The sequence below is a fragment of the Homo sapiens genome, chromosome 9 (assembly GCF_000001405.40).
Source record: "Homo sapiens chromosome 9, GRCh38.p14 Primary Assembly".
Taxonomy (NCBI): domain Eukaryota; kingdom Metazoa; phylum Chordata; class Mammalia; order Primates; family Hominidae; genus Homo; species Homo sapiens.
In genome coordinates, this window is record NC_000009.12 from 89,166,529 (window position 1) to 89,182,591 (window position 16,063).

A 16,063-nucleotide genomic window follows, 5' to 3' on the forward strand; every position below is an offset into this window, starting at 1 on the left:
AGTCCTCCAGGGAGAGGCTGTGAGCCAACAGCATCAGGGTCTGCGGGGAGGGAGGTCAGGCGGCAAAAGAATCGAAAAGGGGTTTAGATTTCATACGAGGGGGCACCAATGAACCTTTTCCAGATCACTATCCACAGACTGGGAGAAGCCGATCACTGCATGTTGATGTGAATAAGAAGAGAGGAAGTGAAGTGGGAAGGAAAGGATGCGCAAGGGAAGAGAGAGGGCTTCAAGTGGAGGCAGGATGCAGGAAAGGCTGATTTAGCGGGGAACAGACCTCAGGAGTGTGTCTCTCTCCCTGTATATGTAATTATAAGACAGGCGAAGGTAATAAGTACTAAAAACGCAGCACCTTCTAATGACTGTATTACACTTTGCTGTTGTCTGCACCTTGAGGTTGAATCCACTGTACTGTGTGGTGTAGACTCTACCAGCTGAGCTACTGCACTCCTCTTCCCGTCTCCCAGTGGCAGCAGGGCAGTGGCTCTTCACAGCACGAAAGCTGGCAAAACTTCAAATCATGACTTTTTTGTCCTGAGAGCCAGATGTTAACCATTGGCCAGCACACCCCTGCCCTGGGGGTCCAGCAGGAGGGAGGGAGGGAGGGCAATGAGGGTGACAGGGGTTGTGGTCAACACCCGGACATCAGAATTCTCCCCTCTGGCTGTTATTTGTGAGTCTTATTTTCTCCTCTCACCTGAGTTAATAAGCCATTCTGCAAATGAGGTTCTCATCTATTACAGGAGTTGCTACTTCCAGTGAAAAAAGTCACAGCTCAGTTCTCTAGATAGTGCAGCCATCACCTTCTTACAAATAACAATCCTTTAAAAAGCAGTTTCTCTATCCCAGAGACCAGAGGAGACCCTGGAGAACTCAGCCCAAGGAAGGGGAGAGGCGGGCTGACCAAGCAAGGGGTACCATGATCCCATCAGTCATATGGATGTGGAAAGTCAGAGGATGAAAGGAGGCTTCTCAGCATGTGGGAAGCAGGAGGGAATCAGGGGCACCTGCCAGGTCCCAGGCCCTCCCAGCTCACCCACCTGACCGTGACCTTCTGTTCTCAGCCCAACTTCCCAAAAGAGGCATCACCCTGCCTAGTTCCATTTTCTGAGAGTACTTACTTGCTATTTGTTCTTTAATTTGGTCAAACCCAAATAGAAACATGCACGAGTATACTTTTTAGAACTTCCATGACAGCAAATCTTAAATTGAGAAAATCACATCTATAAATTATTATTATGCTATTATTGTTTGCAAATTAGGGGGAAAAACCCCATGGCTTTTCCATTTTACTGGTGAAACACCTTGATACAGAAGCGTGTTTCCCCTCCTGGGTGCCTCTGCCTCTGGCTGTGACTCAAAAGCATCAATGTAAGGTGGCTACATGCCCTGCTGCTGGGCTTGCCCCCACCTCGAGGGACCATATCAGGTGTGATTCCAGGGGCAGGCGGCCACCCGGGCCCCCACACCCTGAGCCAGCTTGCGAACCACAGCCATGGGCCCTTGCCACTTAGCCCCATAAAGACCTACCTACAGCTCTCCCTGTGGGCAGAGTCACAGTTTATCCATCTTGTAGCTCAGACCCCTACTCTAGCATCCATCTATAGTAAACCCTAAACAAACATTTGAGGAATTTGAAAATGTTTCTCTATTTGGGTCGGGCACGGTGGCTCACGCCTGTAATCCCAGCACTTTGGGAGGCTGAGGCAGGTGGATCACCTGAGGTCGGGAGTTCGAGACCAGCCAGACCAACATGGAGAAACCCCTTCTCTACCAAAAATACAAAATTAGCTGAGCGTGGTGATGCATGCCGGTAATCCCAGCTACTCAGGAGGCTGAGGCAGGAGAATTGCTTGAACCGGGAGGCAGAGGTTGCTGTGAGCCGAGATTGCACCATTGTACTCCAGCCTGGGCAACAAGAGCAAAACTCTGTCTCAAAAAAAAAAAGTTTCTCTATTTGATGCCCACAGGAATAATAATAACATCTGAGACTCTTTCAGGCAAGTTTATTTGATCATTCCTTATCCCATATTTCCATATTGTTAAGAAATAGAAATCCCTACAAGTGGTTCAGGTCAGCTAGTGGCCACTCTAGAAAATACTTCTAGAGTTTATGTATATTTTGGGGGTGAACTGTATATGTCCACTTGACTGAGCCATGAGATGCCCAGATATTTGGTTAAACATTATTCTGGTGTGTCTGTGAGAGTTTTTTCCTTTTTGATAAAATTAACATTTGAATCAGTAATAAACTGAATAAACAGATGGCCTTCCCCAATTTGTGTGGCCCTTGTCCAATCAGTTGAGGGCCTGAATAAAACAAAAAGCCTGACCCCTCCCCTGGATAGGAGAGAATTCCTCTTGTTGGGCTGTCTTCAAGCTGGGACACTATTTTTTCCCACCTTCAGATCAGACTGAAACATTGGCTTTTCCTGGGTCTCAAGCAGGACAGCATCAGAACTGGAACTGACACCATAAGCTTTCCTGGGTCTGGCCCACCCTGCAGATCTTGGGACTTGCCTGCCTCCAAAATTATGCAAGCCAATTCCTTATAATAAATCTCTTTTTTAATAAGCAACTCTTGGTTCTGTTTCTCTGAAGAACCCTGACTAATACTATTAAAAACAACTTGGGAGAACACCCATTTCCAGAAGGCTCCTCTGATGCTGGAAGAGGCCCTGCCGGACACTGAGCAGAGGAGGTTGAGAGGTGTGACTCCCACCTCCCCACCTGAGGACTAGGAGGCCTGCCCCTCCTCACAGCTCTCAGTGCTTCTCAGGGACCACAGAGTCAAATCCAGGACGTCTGAGCACATAACGGGACCCTGAACCACTTGGCCATATTTGGTATCACTGTTAAGCCCAAGGCTGCAACTTATTAGTCAAGAACATGGTGTGCTCTCCAAGCACTGAGGCGGAGGCACCACCCAGACCTGCACAATTCTAGAGCTCCACTAACACATTTGTAAGTTCATTCCTGAAGGACAGTCACCACGTGCCAACTTGAGGCCCTCATTCCCACTGCGTGAGGAGGGCCTTCATGTCTAGAAGGAATTTGGACATCCAGGCCACTGCTTGACCCACACCAGGGCAAAGGCAGGCCCACACAAGTCCACAGAAGAGCAACAGGCAAAACCCGAAAGTCTGGAAACCACTCCTAAATAGTGCAAGGCGGGGGTGGGGTGCAGATGGCACTGAGCTGATGGCTGTTGAAGTTGGGTGGCGGGCCATTTGTCCCTGGGGCCTCATTTTACCATTCTCTCTATTTTGTTGTGTTTATATGTTTCCTATGATGATGTATGTTTTAAAATCCTCATAATAAATGTTTAAATTTCATAAAAGGGTGGTTTACAAGGCATGTTACAAGGTTGGCAGGTGACCTTGCAAGACAGGCAGGGCTGCAAGCGGAGGAGGTGGAGATCAGTGTGAGGCGGGTTAGGCTCCCTCACCCCTCCTGCCAGGTCAGGGATGGGCAGGACAAATGGGCTCAAGGCTCTCTTTCTCCTGCTGCCAGTTTTTAGGGGCCTTTCCTGCTGAGTGGGTTGTGGAGGCCTTTTCCTTGGGAAGATCCGAGGCGTCCAAACCAAGACTCAAGAGGGAGAGGCAGCAAGGAGGGATGCGCTAAATCCTGGGTGGTGAGGGGCTCCTGTTTGGGATTCGACATGGTACAGCACAGGGGCACATCCAGGAACTAAACAATGTGCCTGGCATGGGCCAACCTGTATTTTTGCCAGCCTGAAGCATAGCTCATGCAGTCAAAATCAGCAGGGAGGGCCCACCATGGCCAGAAGAGACACCTGCACTACTCACTTTAATCCTAGAAAGATGCATATGTCGGCCTGGCACAGTGGCTCATGCCTGTAATCCCAACACTTTGGGAGGCTGAGGCAGACAGATCACTTGAGGCCAGGAGTTCAGGACCAGTCTGGGCAGCATAGGGAAGCCCCATCTCTACAAAAAGTAAAACAATTAGCCAAGCATGGTGGTGTGTGCCTGTGTCCCAGCTATTCGGGAGGCTGAGGAGGGAGGATCGCTTGAGCCTGGGAGGTCAAGGCTACAGTGAGCCATGATCAGGCCACTGGATTCCAGTCTGGGCGACAGAGCAAGACTCCATCTCAGAAATAAACAAGTGCATATGCTAGGGAATAATGGAATACAGTTGGCCCTCCAAATTCATGACAATATTTTTTTAAATACATGATAAAAATAAGAATACAAAAATTAAAAATAACACAAATCGAACAATGCAGTATAACAAATATTTGTGTAGCATTTACATTATAATAGATATTCGTAATCTAGAGATATTACATTTATAGTATACGGTGTATGGAAGATGTGCATAAGTTATTTGCAAATACTGCACCAGTTTATATCAGGGACTTGAACATGCTCGAATTTTGGTATCCATGGGGTTCCTGGAACCAATCCCCCTCAGATCTCAAGGGATGATTGTACACAAACCCCTCATAATTCACTTACATTTTGTCCATCTTCCGGAGGGACAATAAGTCATTGTGAAGGGCTGTGTCTTCCAGGCAAAGAACACTCAAAACAACTAGGTTTTCATCATTTTATCTTAAGAAATAAAAGCCATCTGTGACTCCTGCTTTGGTAAACTGTAAGAGGCCCAGAGTATACAGTACCTCTGCTAAATACCACCTTAGGGGTAAATTCCTTGTCAACAGAGCTAGAACCATATTTTGATTTTTTTTTTTTGAAAAAAACAGAAAGTTTCTATTTGGGCAGGTGGCAGTGGAAATTTTTAATGTTTGCAAAGCAAAAAGCACTATTGTCAGTAGATTGCCAAACAATTATATTTAATGGAATTTGATAAAATGAAGTTTGTCAGAATGACCTCAGAGTAGAGAGCACTTCTGATGTGAGGCTGGGTGAAGGCCAAGTTCCAGAGTTTGAAGGGTTCATACGAGTTTAAATTCTTGAAATTTGGAATGGACTGTTTGCTTCTTTTTCTGCCTATTCAATAGACGAAAGTGAGCAAAGCCTCTTTTGAGGGGTTCTCCACTTCGGGGAAACCATGCATTTCAGATGATATCCAAGGATGGCTTCAAGTCTGAAGTAAGCAGCATTATAACAATGAGCTCTTTGAACATTTTTCTTCTTGGTTTTGAGGAGCTTCAGATATCCAGACAGCTGCTGAGGCATCAGGCACCTGGAAGCTCCAATGGACAGGGTAAGGCACCTGCTCAAGCTGTCTCCTCGATTTCCCTTTTCTGCAGCTTCTTCCAGCATCTAGGCTTCACTGCAGATCCTCACAGGCACCTGGGCTCATGGCTAGAAACCCAAATCTTCACTAGATGGCAGTGGTATCTGCCAGACCAGCTGAGGTGCAGAGCAAGGCATGTCTGAGCCCAGAATCCATAGATCATAGAATCCATGGATCTAACTAAACTGCTGCCACCTGCCTCAAAAAGAAACCCGCCAGAGGTGCCATCCAGAGCTGAGAAGATGCTCGCCAGCCAAGAAGAGCAGTGCCTCTTCCAGTCATGTCAGGTGGTACAGGAGGGCTGAGGTATATCCGGCACCTTCTCACCAACTCTCCTCACAAAGACAAAGAAGATCAGCATGGCCTGTAACCATGGAAACATGGCCTTTGGCCCCTGGTATCTCACTGGGGTTCAAATGGTCCAAATAGGGATGCCTAATCCCTCTGACCCCAGTGTAACTGGTGCCACTCTGCTTATTTATAACCGTGACTGCTCTGCAACTCTGACGTGGCCACTCAGGGAAAATTCACCAATTCTAGCACTGGGAGACATGGATTAATTACTCCCAGTGGACCCTCAGTGGATCCTTGTCACACTGTTGTTGTTTTGGTTGGGAGGGGAGAGGCAAAATCACAGTGGGGTCAAAATGTTTTGTTTTGTTTTTTAACTCAACAGAAAATGAGTAATTATGAACTTGTAAGACCAAAACCAACTTGTAAGGCATATTGTGCAGCTGCACATCCCCACACCCCATCACACACACACAGACACAGACACACACACACACGAAGACACAGACACACACAGACACACACACACAGACACACACACACACAGACACACACACACACGATGGTCAACATCCACCCACTCAGTAGGCTGTTCCTATGCTCACTGCCTCCCACCTTAAAGATATTATTTTTCCACCACATACTATAGAACTCTTATGATAAATTGCAAAATTGTTTTCTTGTCCTTTACCCAGGAAACACACATAACTGGTCATTTCTTTCCATTGCATCTGAAACCATTTTATTTATGAATTAAATAATTCACTAACTCTACTGCCCTTGGGTATTTTCATTGAACATGCTGGCTCTTCCTTGTTGCTTTCCTCTGAGCCCCACCATGGACTTGGATCCTTGTACTGCAGGGTCTGGCCCTGGCCCCAGTGATCCAGCAGGTGTCCATCAGGTGAGCACACTCCTGATACTGCAGTGTGCTTCCCTGGGCCCGTCTCTTCCAATTACATTAGATGCTGGTGCAAAAAACAATACAGATGCCACCATTTCTGCCTCGGCCAGGCCTCCAACCCATAGAGACCAACCCCAGCACAACCCTGCCTTCAACTTGCTGCAGCCAGGGACAGCCAGGTCCAGAGAGGTGAGCTGACTGCTCTAGCCCCACACTAAGCTGGCGGTGGAGCTGCAGCCCAGGTGTCCTGCCTTTCACCAGTCCAGGACCTTCACCAGGCCAGGTGTCTGCTCTAATGTCCCCTACCCTAAGCCAGGCACTGCAGGCCAGCAGCACCGGCACATCCTGCAGGGCCAGCCTGTTGGCTGGAAAGCCAGTCTTGCAAGTGGGTTCACGTGTTTGCTGCCCAGGCTTTCTGTTCCCAGGACTCTGCTTTAATGATAGTAATCATATATTCCTCAAAACTATGACATATACTCAAAGGTAAGACACCGTGCGGAGGCAGAGAAGCAGCCATCTGTTCTTTATAGGATGGAAGTTTTGTCGTAGCTTATCTTTTTCTTAAACATGAATATAAAAGAAATGACTGAGATAATTGGGTATTTCTAGAAATATGACATTTCCTATTTTCTAACAAGAAAGAAAACAGCCCCCATCCAAAGTCATCACAAGTCATCTACCTGTGGGCTGTGGGGTGTGTGTGTTGTGTGTGTGCAGTGTCTGTATGGTTGTGTGTGGGTGCATGGTGTGTATGTGCATATGTGTGTGTATATGTGAGGTGTGTGTGTGGTTTGTGTATATGTGTGTGGTGTGTGTGTGCCTTTAACACATCTATGTTTGTGTCACATAAAAAGAGACAACTCACTATCCAGATCAAATTAATAACTTTATATATTAATGTCAAAAGAAATTCTTAAACTATTTTTCAAACCATTTAGATATTTACGTGTAAGCCATCCATATCATAAGATTTCGAAAGAATTTTGAGAAAAAAATCAACTTTTTAAAGTTCAACTCCACATCAAAATCAATTTTTCAGTCTAGAGGTAAAATAAAATTCTACAATATTATAGTAGAATTGATATAGTTATTTTAATATAGTTAAAATAACTTTTGTATGATCTTTGCTCACAGTTACCAAAAGAATACAGCTCTGAGAAAATGAAAATTTAAGATATTTTTATACACTTTGTCAAGTGAAAAAAATTAAGAATAAATTTTTGAGTAAATGTAATTTACGAAGACCACCTATAAAAGGCAGTAGAGCATTTACAAATAAAGCAAATGATTTATACCACCCCAAATATCATTAGATGCACAAATGGGAGTAATAAAATAATTTTTAAAGAGTCCTTGTAAAAACAGAGCTTTGTTCCAAAAGGGAAGCATATCAGGAAGGGTCCAGTGTATCAGGAAATAATGCAGTACTTTTCTGATCGTTAAATCTCCTATAAATAGCTCGCCATTTTCACTGTCAGTAAATATACAACACTCCACAAGCTGAAACCTATGTAACTTCGCTGGAGCCTTCACAGGTGTTTATGAATGGCGTAATCTGCTGGCTCACTGAATGCTGACGCTGTTGGAATAGCTCTGAGCAGTGGGCACCTAAAACCATTGCTTTTACATTGGGCCTCCTGATTCTTGCCCTTGGCACTTGGGTCATTTCTAAATATGGTCACTTCTTATCCTTTTGAAGTCTGTGCTGTGATGTGCTCTAAGAAGGAGCCCGTCTTTTGGGGACCACGCTGGGGCCAAAGGCAAACCCGGTGCAGCCCACACAGCATTGCTTCCTGCTCCAGCCTCGCCCCTCCAGCAGGCAGTTTCAGAGCTGAATGTCAAGGCTGTGCTTGTCTTCAGATGGCCCACTGGCTCTTTAAAAACTGAACCCCTGCCTCCTGTCCCCTGCACTGTTCATATTCCTTCCTACAGTTTCCCCACCGTGGATCTGAGGACAGAGAAGGTGGAGGACCAGGATATTGCCTTTTGAACCTGCTAAAGACCAGCAGCCTCCTTGAGTGATTGGGGTCCTACCCAGGCTTGACTTTAGGATAAGATAATTTAAAGGTGGGCAGCACCGTAATCAATACTCATTGGTATTTCTTTTAGGTCCAAATATCAAATACTTTTAAAATGGAAATTTAATGAAAATAGTCATTGTTCTTTGCTGTTGGATTTTTCTTTTCTATCAAGAGCATAGTTCCTTGTTCTTTCTTTTACGTCACCAAAAGAAAAAAGGAAATGTCAAGATACTTAGGGGAGTAAAAAGGTGCTGCCAATGAGGCCCAGCTGAAAAGAATATAAACCTCTAGGCAGAGTAAGCTGCAGCCTTTCTGTGTGCATAGCCCCATTCTGTTATTTAGCAGCAAACTCAATGATGGACCAATTAGACATGCTTTGAGCTTTGAATTCTACTGTTGCTCAGGAACTTCTTCCATGTTTAAATTTTAAGTCCTTCATTAATTCACATTCTAAGCTGTTGCTCAAATAGTTTAATGTTTCCTAGATGATCAAAATTCACCAGACTTCTGTATTTTACAGTCCCTGTTCTCAGATTAAGTTGAAATATTTTTGAATTATAATTCATATGTGCAATATCCTAATATCACCTGTAAGTAGGTATTTCTTTGAGGGGGAAAATCTATAATACAGTATATAAATTTTCCAGGAAACTAGAAAACATTTGGGGGCTTTATTTTTAATTTAGAAAAAAATTATATCAAAGAGAATAATGCATCCTTTCCCAAACCCTAAACCTTTATATTTTACTATTGGTATCTAGTCATATGATAAAGATGGCCCATTTCTATCTACCAGAAATCTTTTAAAGTAAGGATACCGGTAGAACTATTCAAAAATTCTAAATAACGCCAAATTAAGATTGTTTTCAGTTTAACAATTTTTCAATAAAATAAGTTCGAGGTTTTAAACTCAACATGGGCAATGCGGGAATTTGCACATGTGCGCCAACAGAGGGCCATGTGATAATTTGAATCAAACATGCACACACACTTTAGCATCTGGTTTTCTTTCTGCGTGATTTCAAACTTCTCCAGGACAGCAGAGGACAATGCCTGCGTTTATGTTCACATCACAGCACCATTCATGGCTGCTAATGAACAAGGAACCAAAACATGGATGGTACAGAGCCCTAATTAGTCATGCCATGCACCCCTCAACCCATCACTGCAACCCCTTAAATTTGAGGCAACACAAAGTAACCCCAAGACACAGACAAGCTCTGTGCAGATCCAGCCCTTTGACTATGAATACTACTGCTGATGCTGCCAGTAAGTCACAAACCTTACAGCAACAGATTGTCGACGCAGAGCCGTCTTATTTTCGTACATTCATCATTATTTTGCCACATTTGACCTTTCAAACTTGATGCTGGCCTTCCTTCTTTAAAAAGCAAAAGCAAAGTTCTAAGCAAAGTGATTAAAACAAAAATTTAAAGCCATAAGTTTGAGAATTCTCCCTCAATTTGAAAACTACTCTGTTTAATATGACAGGTAGAAAAAGCTTTGCCAAGGTCTATTTGTCTATTTGAAATGTAGGCTTTTTAAAACAGCAATTATGCTAACACCCCAGAAGTAAACACAACCTCAAAGCTGTCAGGGATTTTTGGTTTGGTTTGTTTTTTTCTTTTTGTTTTGGCCCCTGGTTATATAATTTAAATAAGCAAAACAAGAAGAATATTCAGTACCTCTTAAAATAAACTCAACCAAATATGCATATATTATGCTCATCTATACCCCTTTGGTAAAATATAATAATCCATAGTTTGAAGGTTAAATTAAAAAGCAGACTGAAAAGGTGAAGAAGCCCTCTTTTAACAACAATGGCCACATTCATCTGTAAGTACTTTTTATATAGTTAAAGGCAATCCACAAAGTTAAGTATTTCTGTTAATATTTTGGTTCCGAAATTACCAGACACTGCATTTTACCTGAGGATGTGTTCTATTTAATTTTTACACTGGAATCTGCAGCCAATATTTACGGAACAGACATCCTGGGGGTTTCTCAGTGTTATTGAGGACACGGTGGGGATAGAGTTTGTGTCTCATTTCTTTCTCAATACAAAGCCATGCCTTGGAGTGGCAGGATTGAAATACTGCAACTTCCATCCTTAACCCCTGTCTGCTCGGCTGTGGAGGCTGTTAAAGCTCTGAGCTGCCCAACCGGCAGAAGGAAATAACCGCGTGGCAGATTACTTGAACTGTGCTGAGCATTTTTCCTTAAATATCATAACATGCTTGCATAAGGGTGGAATTTTATTGACTACATCGTGATTTTATCATCTTTGTGTTGGAGGAAAAAACTCCTTTCCAGCCTGTGGCTCCAAGCGCAGCGCCCTAGTTCCCTTTTAGCACATTTAAATGGAAGACTACAGTCACCAGAAAAATAGTCCCAGAATTCTCATTCCGCTGCTGTAAACCAGAACCTTTCCTTAGGGAATGAAAGACAAACCCCAAGAAAACCTGGACTGGGTGAGAAAGTAAAGCCCGTCGAAGAGAAAGCAGCACAGCATTTGGCCTGCTCTGCAAGGAGCTGGGAATTCTTGCTGCGGGGGGCAACAAGATACCCACCCTCCCGCCGGGGAAGACACAGCAGGAGTAGGGCCGCCACTCCGTGCATCTCTCCTCCCGGGGGCTGCCCAGCTCTCCCCAGCGCGTTTCCTAGATACTAGGCAGGCCGGACCCCCGCTGCCCAGGGTTGGGCGCCCATGACACTGGTCAGACATCTGGTAAGCCAGGTGGCAAAGGCGTGCCAAAAAAGTGGAGCCTAGGGAAAACCGGGACGGAGCGGGCCACCCGAGTGGTAAACCTTTTCCCAATGGATGCGGGAAAAGCGCATTTGTAGTTCCCTCCTCACCGCTGTCAAGCGAGCTGATTGCTAAGGAGTGCGCATTTGCTTGCCTCTAACGTGACAGTCGCGGGAGCGCCCCGCACCCCGGGCTTCAGGGAATGAAGGAGTCTGCCCCGAACTGGCCCCAGAACCCCCAGCCCCCAGGGCGGCCCGCGCCCGCACCCACCTTGACCACGTAGGTGACTCCGGGCCCCAGCACCTGGTCGCTGGCGTGCGGCGCCCCCCGAGGGGGCCTGGGCAGCGGCTCGTCGCCGGGCCGGCCCTTCCTGGCGGCGCTCATGGCCGGGGCGCGGGGCGCCGAGGGCGCACTGCCGTCCGGGGCGGCCAGGCTGGGCGCGCTGCAGCTGCCCGAGAGCCGCGCGCCCGCCCGCTCCCGGGCGGCCGACGACAGGCCGCGGAGGCCCGAGCTGGAGAGTTTCAGGTGGGACACCTTGTGGAGCAGGTGGCCCAGGCTGCCGGGCCCATCGTCGGGCGCCTTGCGCAGCGCCTCGCCGGACACCAAGTAGGGAGCCGCCGCCGGGGTCGCGCGCGCCGCCGAAACCTTGCCTCCGCCGCCGCTCACCGACAGGCTGTGGAGAAGGTCATCGACCGATGTCACCGAGTCATTCCTGAAGCGGTTATACTTGGTGCGTGGAAGCATGCCCCTCCGTGGGCTCGCTGCATCCGCCCGGGCGCTGCTGGTGCCGGCCCCGGCGCGGGCTGCCGCGCATAGCAGGCGAGCCACTGTCCCCGGAGCGGGACGGAGAGTGGGGGCCCCGGGACAGCCTTCTGGAGAACGAGAGCAGAGCAAGAGGATGGTGCCCTCCCACCGTTAAAAGCCAGCACAGCGGCGGCCGCGCAGCCCCGGCCCGGGAGACCGCTGCTTGGGGTTGCACGTTTGCTTTGCAAAAGTCATAGTTGCCTCTGATGGAGCGCCCAGCTGCTTGGGGCTGCTCACAGCAAAAGCATGACTCACTCTGAGAGGAGACCCTTCTCAACAAAGGCTCGGTGAGCACTGCAAATCACTTCCTGTAGCAGAAGAAAAAAAAGGAAAAAAAGAAGAAAAAAACGACATCCACCCGCTGACAGCACACTATAGCCAATCAATTCTCAAATTTCCTTTTTCTACCTTCCCAGATATTTCCTTCCAACCTTTGATTTTTCACCTTCCCATCCCCCGCAATCTGCATTTGTGCCAAAGGTAAATCCAATCCAGTTCCTTCAAATCGTCAAATGAACTTTCTGAAACCCATTATTCTGTTAGGTTTTGCTCGTCCCTGCTCAGCCCATCTGTGTGAGCCTGTAAAAGTGTCTAACAGCGATGCGTTAAAATGTGACGAAGGCTTTTTAAGAATCAGATCTTCAGCGAATCCTGATGAATCTTGACTTGGAAGGCAGCAGGAATTTTTAAATAGAAAAAAACAAAAAGGATATTCACCCCCAGGTGACTGTAAAATACCAATTTCCTGGGTTTTGCTTTTTCTTTTCAAATTAACAGAGCAGCGATGACAAGTGTCTTTGTGGCAATGCAGTTCCTCAAAAAAAAAAAAAAAAAAAAATCTGCATATGAACTTCTGCACAGTGCCAATCAAGGGGTCTTCCCTGCTCATTTACAGCAGTCTTTCTCAGCCAGGGTTAAGTTGAATATCCACTTCCAAAAAAGAAGAGTGCTTCTTTCACGAGTGGCAACAGGCTCCAGAAATCCATTCCAAAAAAGGGGCTGCATTTGAAGCTTTAATCCTACTGAATGTGTTTAAGCTCTGGAAAAACGCCTAAGAAATGCTACAAATACATTTCAATGTTCCTTCAGTTGCTGCTTGCAACCCTGCAGTCAGGAAGGAAAAAATGCAGCTGTTCTTATTGCACATCAAATCCACAAGGAGGAAAATATGCCTTCTTTTCAGGAGTCAGGCTCGGGCTTGCAAGTAAAATGCACAGGCCTTCTTCCTCTCAGTTAGGAGAGCAAGGCTTTCGCTGTCCCCAGAGGTCTGCCCGAGACTGAAGCCCTCTGACTCTTGACCTCAGTGGGCTCTGCCAGGCTTCCTCATGCATTAGGATCACCTGCTCCACAGTGAAACACTCACTATCAAAGTTTTCCCGCAACTTCTGAGCAAGCGAATAAATTCAGCTCTAGCACACTCTCAGGTCACCCTGAGTCCTCTCACTCCCATGACCGAACATGTGGGGCACGTGAGGTCCTGAGTCTTGAACCCTGCTCTATGGAGCAGAGTTTAATGAGCGCCACTCATGGCGGGCGAGCGGGTGAGGCCAACCCCTAGGACGCAAGAGCGCAGAGGAGCCGCGGCGTCCCCGGTACAGGAAACGCGTCCCCACGGCTCGCCTCCTGTGCCGCAGCCCTAGCAGAACAGCTACACGGCACTCATTTGTTCCCTTTCCCTAGCTTGCATAGCAACAGCAATTGCACACCCCATAGATGATTTTGATGGTTATCAGAGTCCTCCCCAGATCTGTAGCGAAACAGCCCTATCATTCCCAAAGCGAGATCTTCATTAGATGCAGACAAAAACCGCAAAATGTGAATGAAATGCTGTTTGTGTGAATGAAAAGGCTAGCGAGCGAGCCAGCGTTTCTGTGAATGAAGCAGGGCCTTGCAGCCGGTGCCAGGCAATCCCCTGGGCTCCAGCGGCCTCAGCCAATGAGCGGCCGCCCCGATGACTCATTCAACAAAGGCTTGCTCAATAGTGGAAGATTCCATTTCAATCAAAGGCGGGATCTTTTATCCAACGGCAGTGTGGGAAAAAAAAAAAGAAAAAGAAAAAAAAACACCCAGCCGGATTACAAAGATACCGGGAGGAAGAGGCCAGCTGCTATGGAGAGGAAAAGCTAGTTTTACAAGGGAATTCAAGATCCCTTGGTCAGGTCTAAGTGTGAAGAGGGTCTCTCTTGGAGGTGAGCTGTGCCCCTAAACTTTCATTCAGCCGTTCATTTACATCAAGGAGCAACCATGAATGTGCCAGTCGTTCAGCTTTTATTATGAATGTACATTGAATGCACGTTCAAAACCTAGGTTCCTAGCCCTTGATTCTTTTTTTGTAAAAGGCATGTAGGACACCTGTACACGTTCTGAGGCTCCAGGGAGGAAAAAAAATCCAAAGCTATGTACTTAACGTTTAGCCAACAGGAGACTTTTATTTCTTTTATTATGAGGCCAGTGGAGGGAAATTGGTCATTTTAAAATATAAATAGCAACATAAATTTACTATATATGAAAAGATATATAATCAAAGACAGAAATTAATATTCCAAGAACACAGTAGTACGGTAAAACCTCACTTACCTGGAAAATAGTATCAACATTTTGGAACGTAGCAGAAAGATGGAAAAAGAAAAACCCGAAGGCCTCTCAGCATCAAAAGGAGGCTGTGCAGCCCACACAGAAGCTCACACACCCTACTCATGAGAAAACCCTTTGCCCTTTCTGGGGAGCTGTTCATGTTTATTTTAGACCCTGTACCAGAAAGCCCACATATCTTCTTGATCAACATAGAGACAGATGAGAGAGGAGACCACTGGGACAGAAAATGCTAAATGTAAATGAAATTTTCTGTTGCTGGCTTGCTTGATAGCCATGGAAGGAAGCAGGAAAAAAAAACTCCATTTTAAAGTCAGCCTTGAGATTCACCAAAGCCAGGCAGTCTGGGGCAATTTACAATGAGAGCCTTTCCAGTATGTTGTGGTTTTTCTTTTTTAAATCAATGCTTAAACACGTATTTGCTTTCTATGGCTGCCGTAACAAATGACCACAAAATCAATGGCTTAGAATAACACAATTTATTATCTTCCAGTTTGTAGGTAAGAAGTCCAAATGGGTCATGCTGGGATCCAGCATGGGTGTGGGCCGAGCTGGTTCCTCTGGAGGCTCTGAGGGAGAATCCACAAATTTCTGAGAAGGTGCCATGAGCTGGGCCCTGGGGAAAGTGGTTTTGCCTTCTGGAAGGCAGAAGATCTGAAATTAATGTTATAACCTAGTTAAGACTATGTGAATTTTGTAATATGTGTGAGATACAAAAACTTGACCAAAGGAGTGAGCTTGTCCTGAGGATGCGGAGGTGACCCCTGACCCCAGTGGAGGCATCCTCCAGGTGACTTCACAGGAGGAAACTGTGTGGGCAAGGGCTCCAGGCCTGAGCAGTCCAGAGTCTCCCAGAATCCCTGGTAGGTTGGTTGGGTTGGTGAGGAGGTCAGGAGGCTGGGCACTCATAAAGGCTTAGAGGGGTGATGAGGTTTGGATGTGTGTCCCCTCCAAATCTCATGTTGAAATGTGACCCTCAGTGTTGGAGGTGGGGCCTGGTGGGAGGTGACTGAATCATGGGGGTGGATCCCTCATGAATAGCTTAGCACCATTCCCTTGGTGATAAGTGAGTTCTTGCTCTGAGCTTACATGAGATTTGCTTGGATAAAAGAATATGGCGGCCTGGTGTGGTGGCTCATGCCTGTAATCCCAGCACTTTGGGAGGCCGAGGTGATGGATCACCTGAGGTCGGGAGTTCGAGACCAGCCTGGCCAACAGGTGAAACCCCATCTCTACTAAAAATACCAAAACTAGCCGGGCATGGTGGCAGGCCCCTGTAATCACAGCTACTCGGGGGGCTGAGGCAGGAGAATCGCTTGAACCCGGGACGAGGAGTTTGCAGTGAGCCGAGATCGCACCATCGCATTCCAGACTGGGCGAAAAGAGCAAGACTTTGTCTCAAAAACAATAAAAATAAAATAAAATAAAATAAAATAAAATAAAATAAAATAAAATAAAATAAAATAAAATAAAATAAAA

The 16,063-nt window shown here is 46.3% G+C and overlaps 1 protein-coding gene across 1 annotated transcript in view, besides 2 other annotated features; it reads right to left on the bottom strand.

Annotated features, from left to right (window-relative positions):
- The window catches only part of SHC3 (SHC adaptor protein 3), a 173,048-nt gene extending 160,758 nt beyond the window's left edge, over positions 1–12,290 (bottom strand). The window contains exon 1 of the mRNA NM_016848.6: positions 11,459–12,290. Coding sequence (NP_058544.3) covers positions 11,459–11,932 — 474 coding nt within the window. The 5' untranslated portion in view covers positions 11,933–12,290. The remainder of the gene's footprint in view (positions 1–11,458) is intronic.
- Positions 6,151–6,651: an enhancer, noted in NCBI's record as "H3K4me1 hESC enhancer chr9:91787594-91788094 (GRCh37/hg19 assembly coordinates)". NCBI's record gives its function as "activates a minimal SCP1, AML or CMV promoter by ChIP-STARR-seq in naive H9 embryonic stem cells {active_cell/tissue: H9 hESC(naive)}" and the evidence as "EXISTENCE:reporter gene assay evidence [ECO:0000049][PMID:30033119]".
- Positions 6,652–7,152: an enhancer, noted in NCBI's record as "H3K4me1 hESC enhancer chr9:91788095-91788595 (GRCh37/hg19 assembly coordinates)". NCBI's record gives its function as "activates a minimal SCP1, AML or CMV promoter by ChIP-STARR-seq in naive H9 embryonic stem cells {active_cell/tissue: H9 hESC(naive)}" and the evidence as "EXISTENCE:reporter gene assay evidence [ECO:0000049][PMID:30033119]".
- Positions 12,291–16,063: the final 3,773 nt, after the last annotated feature.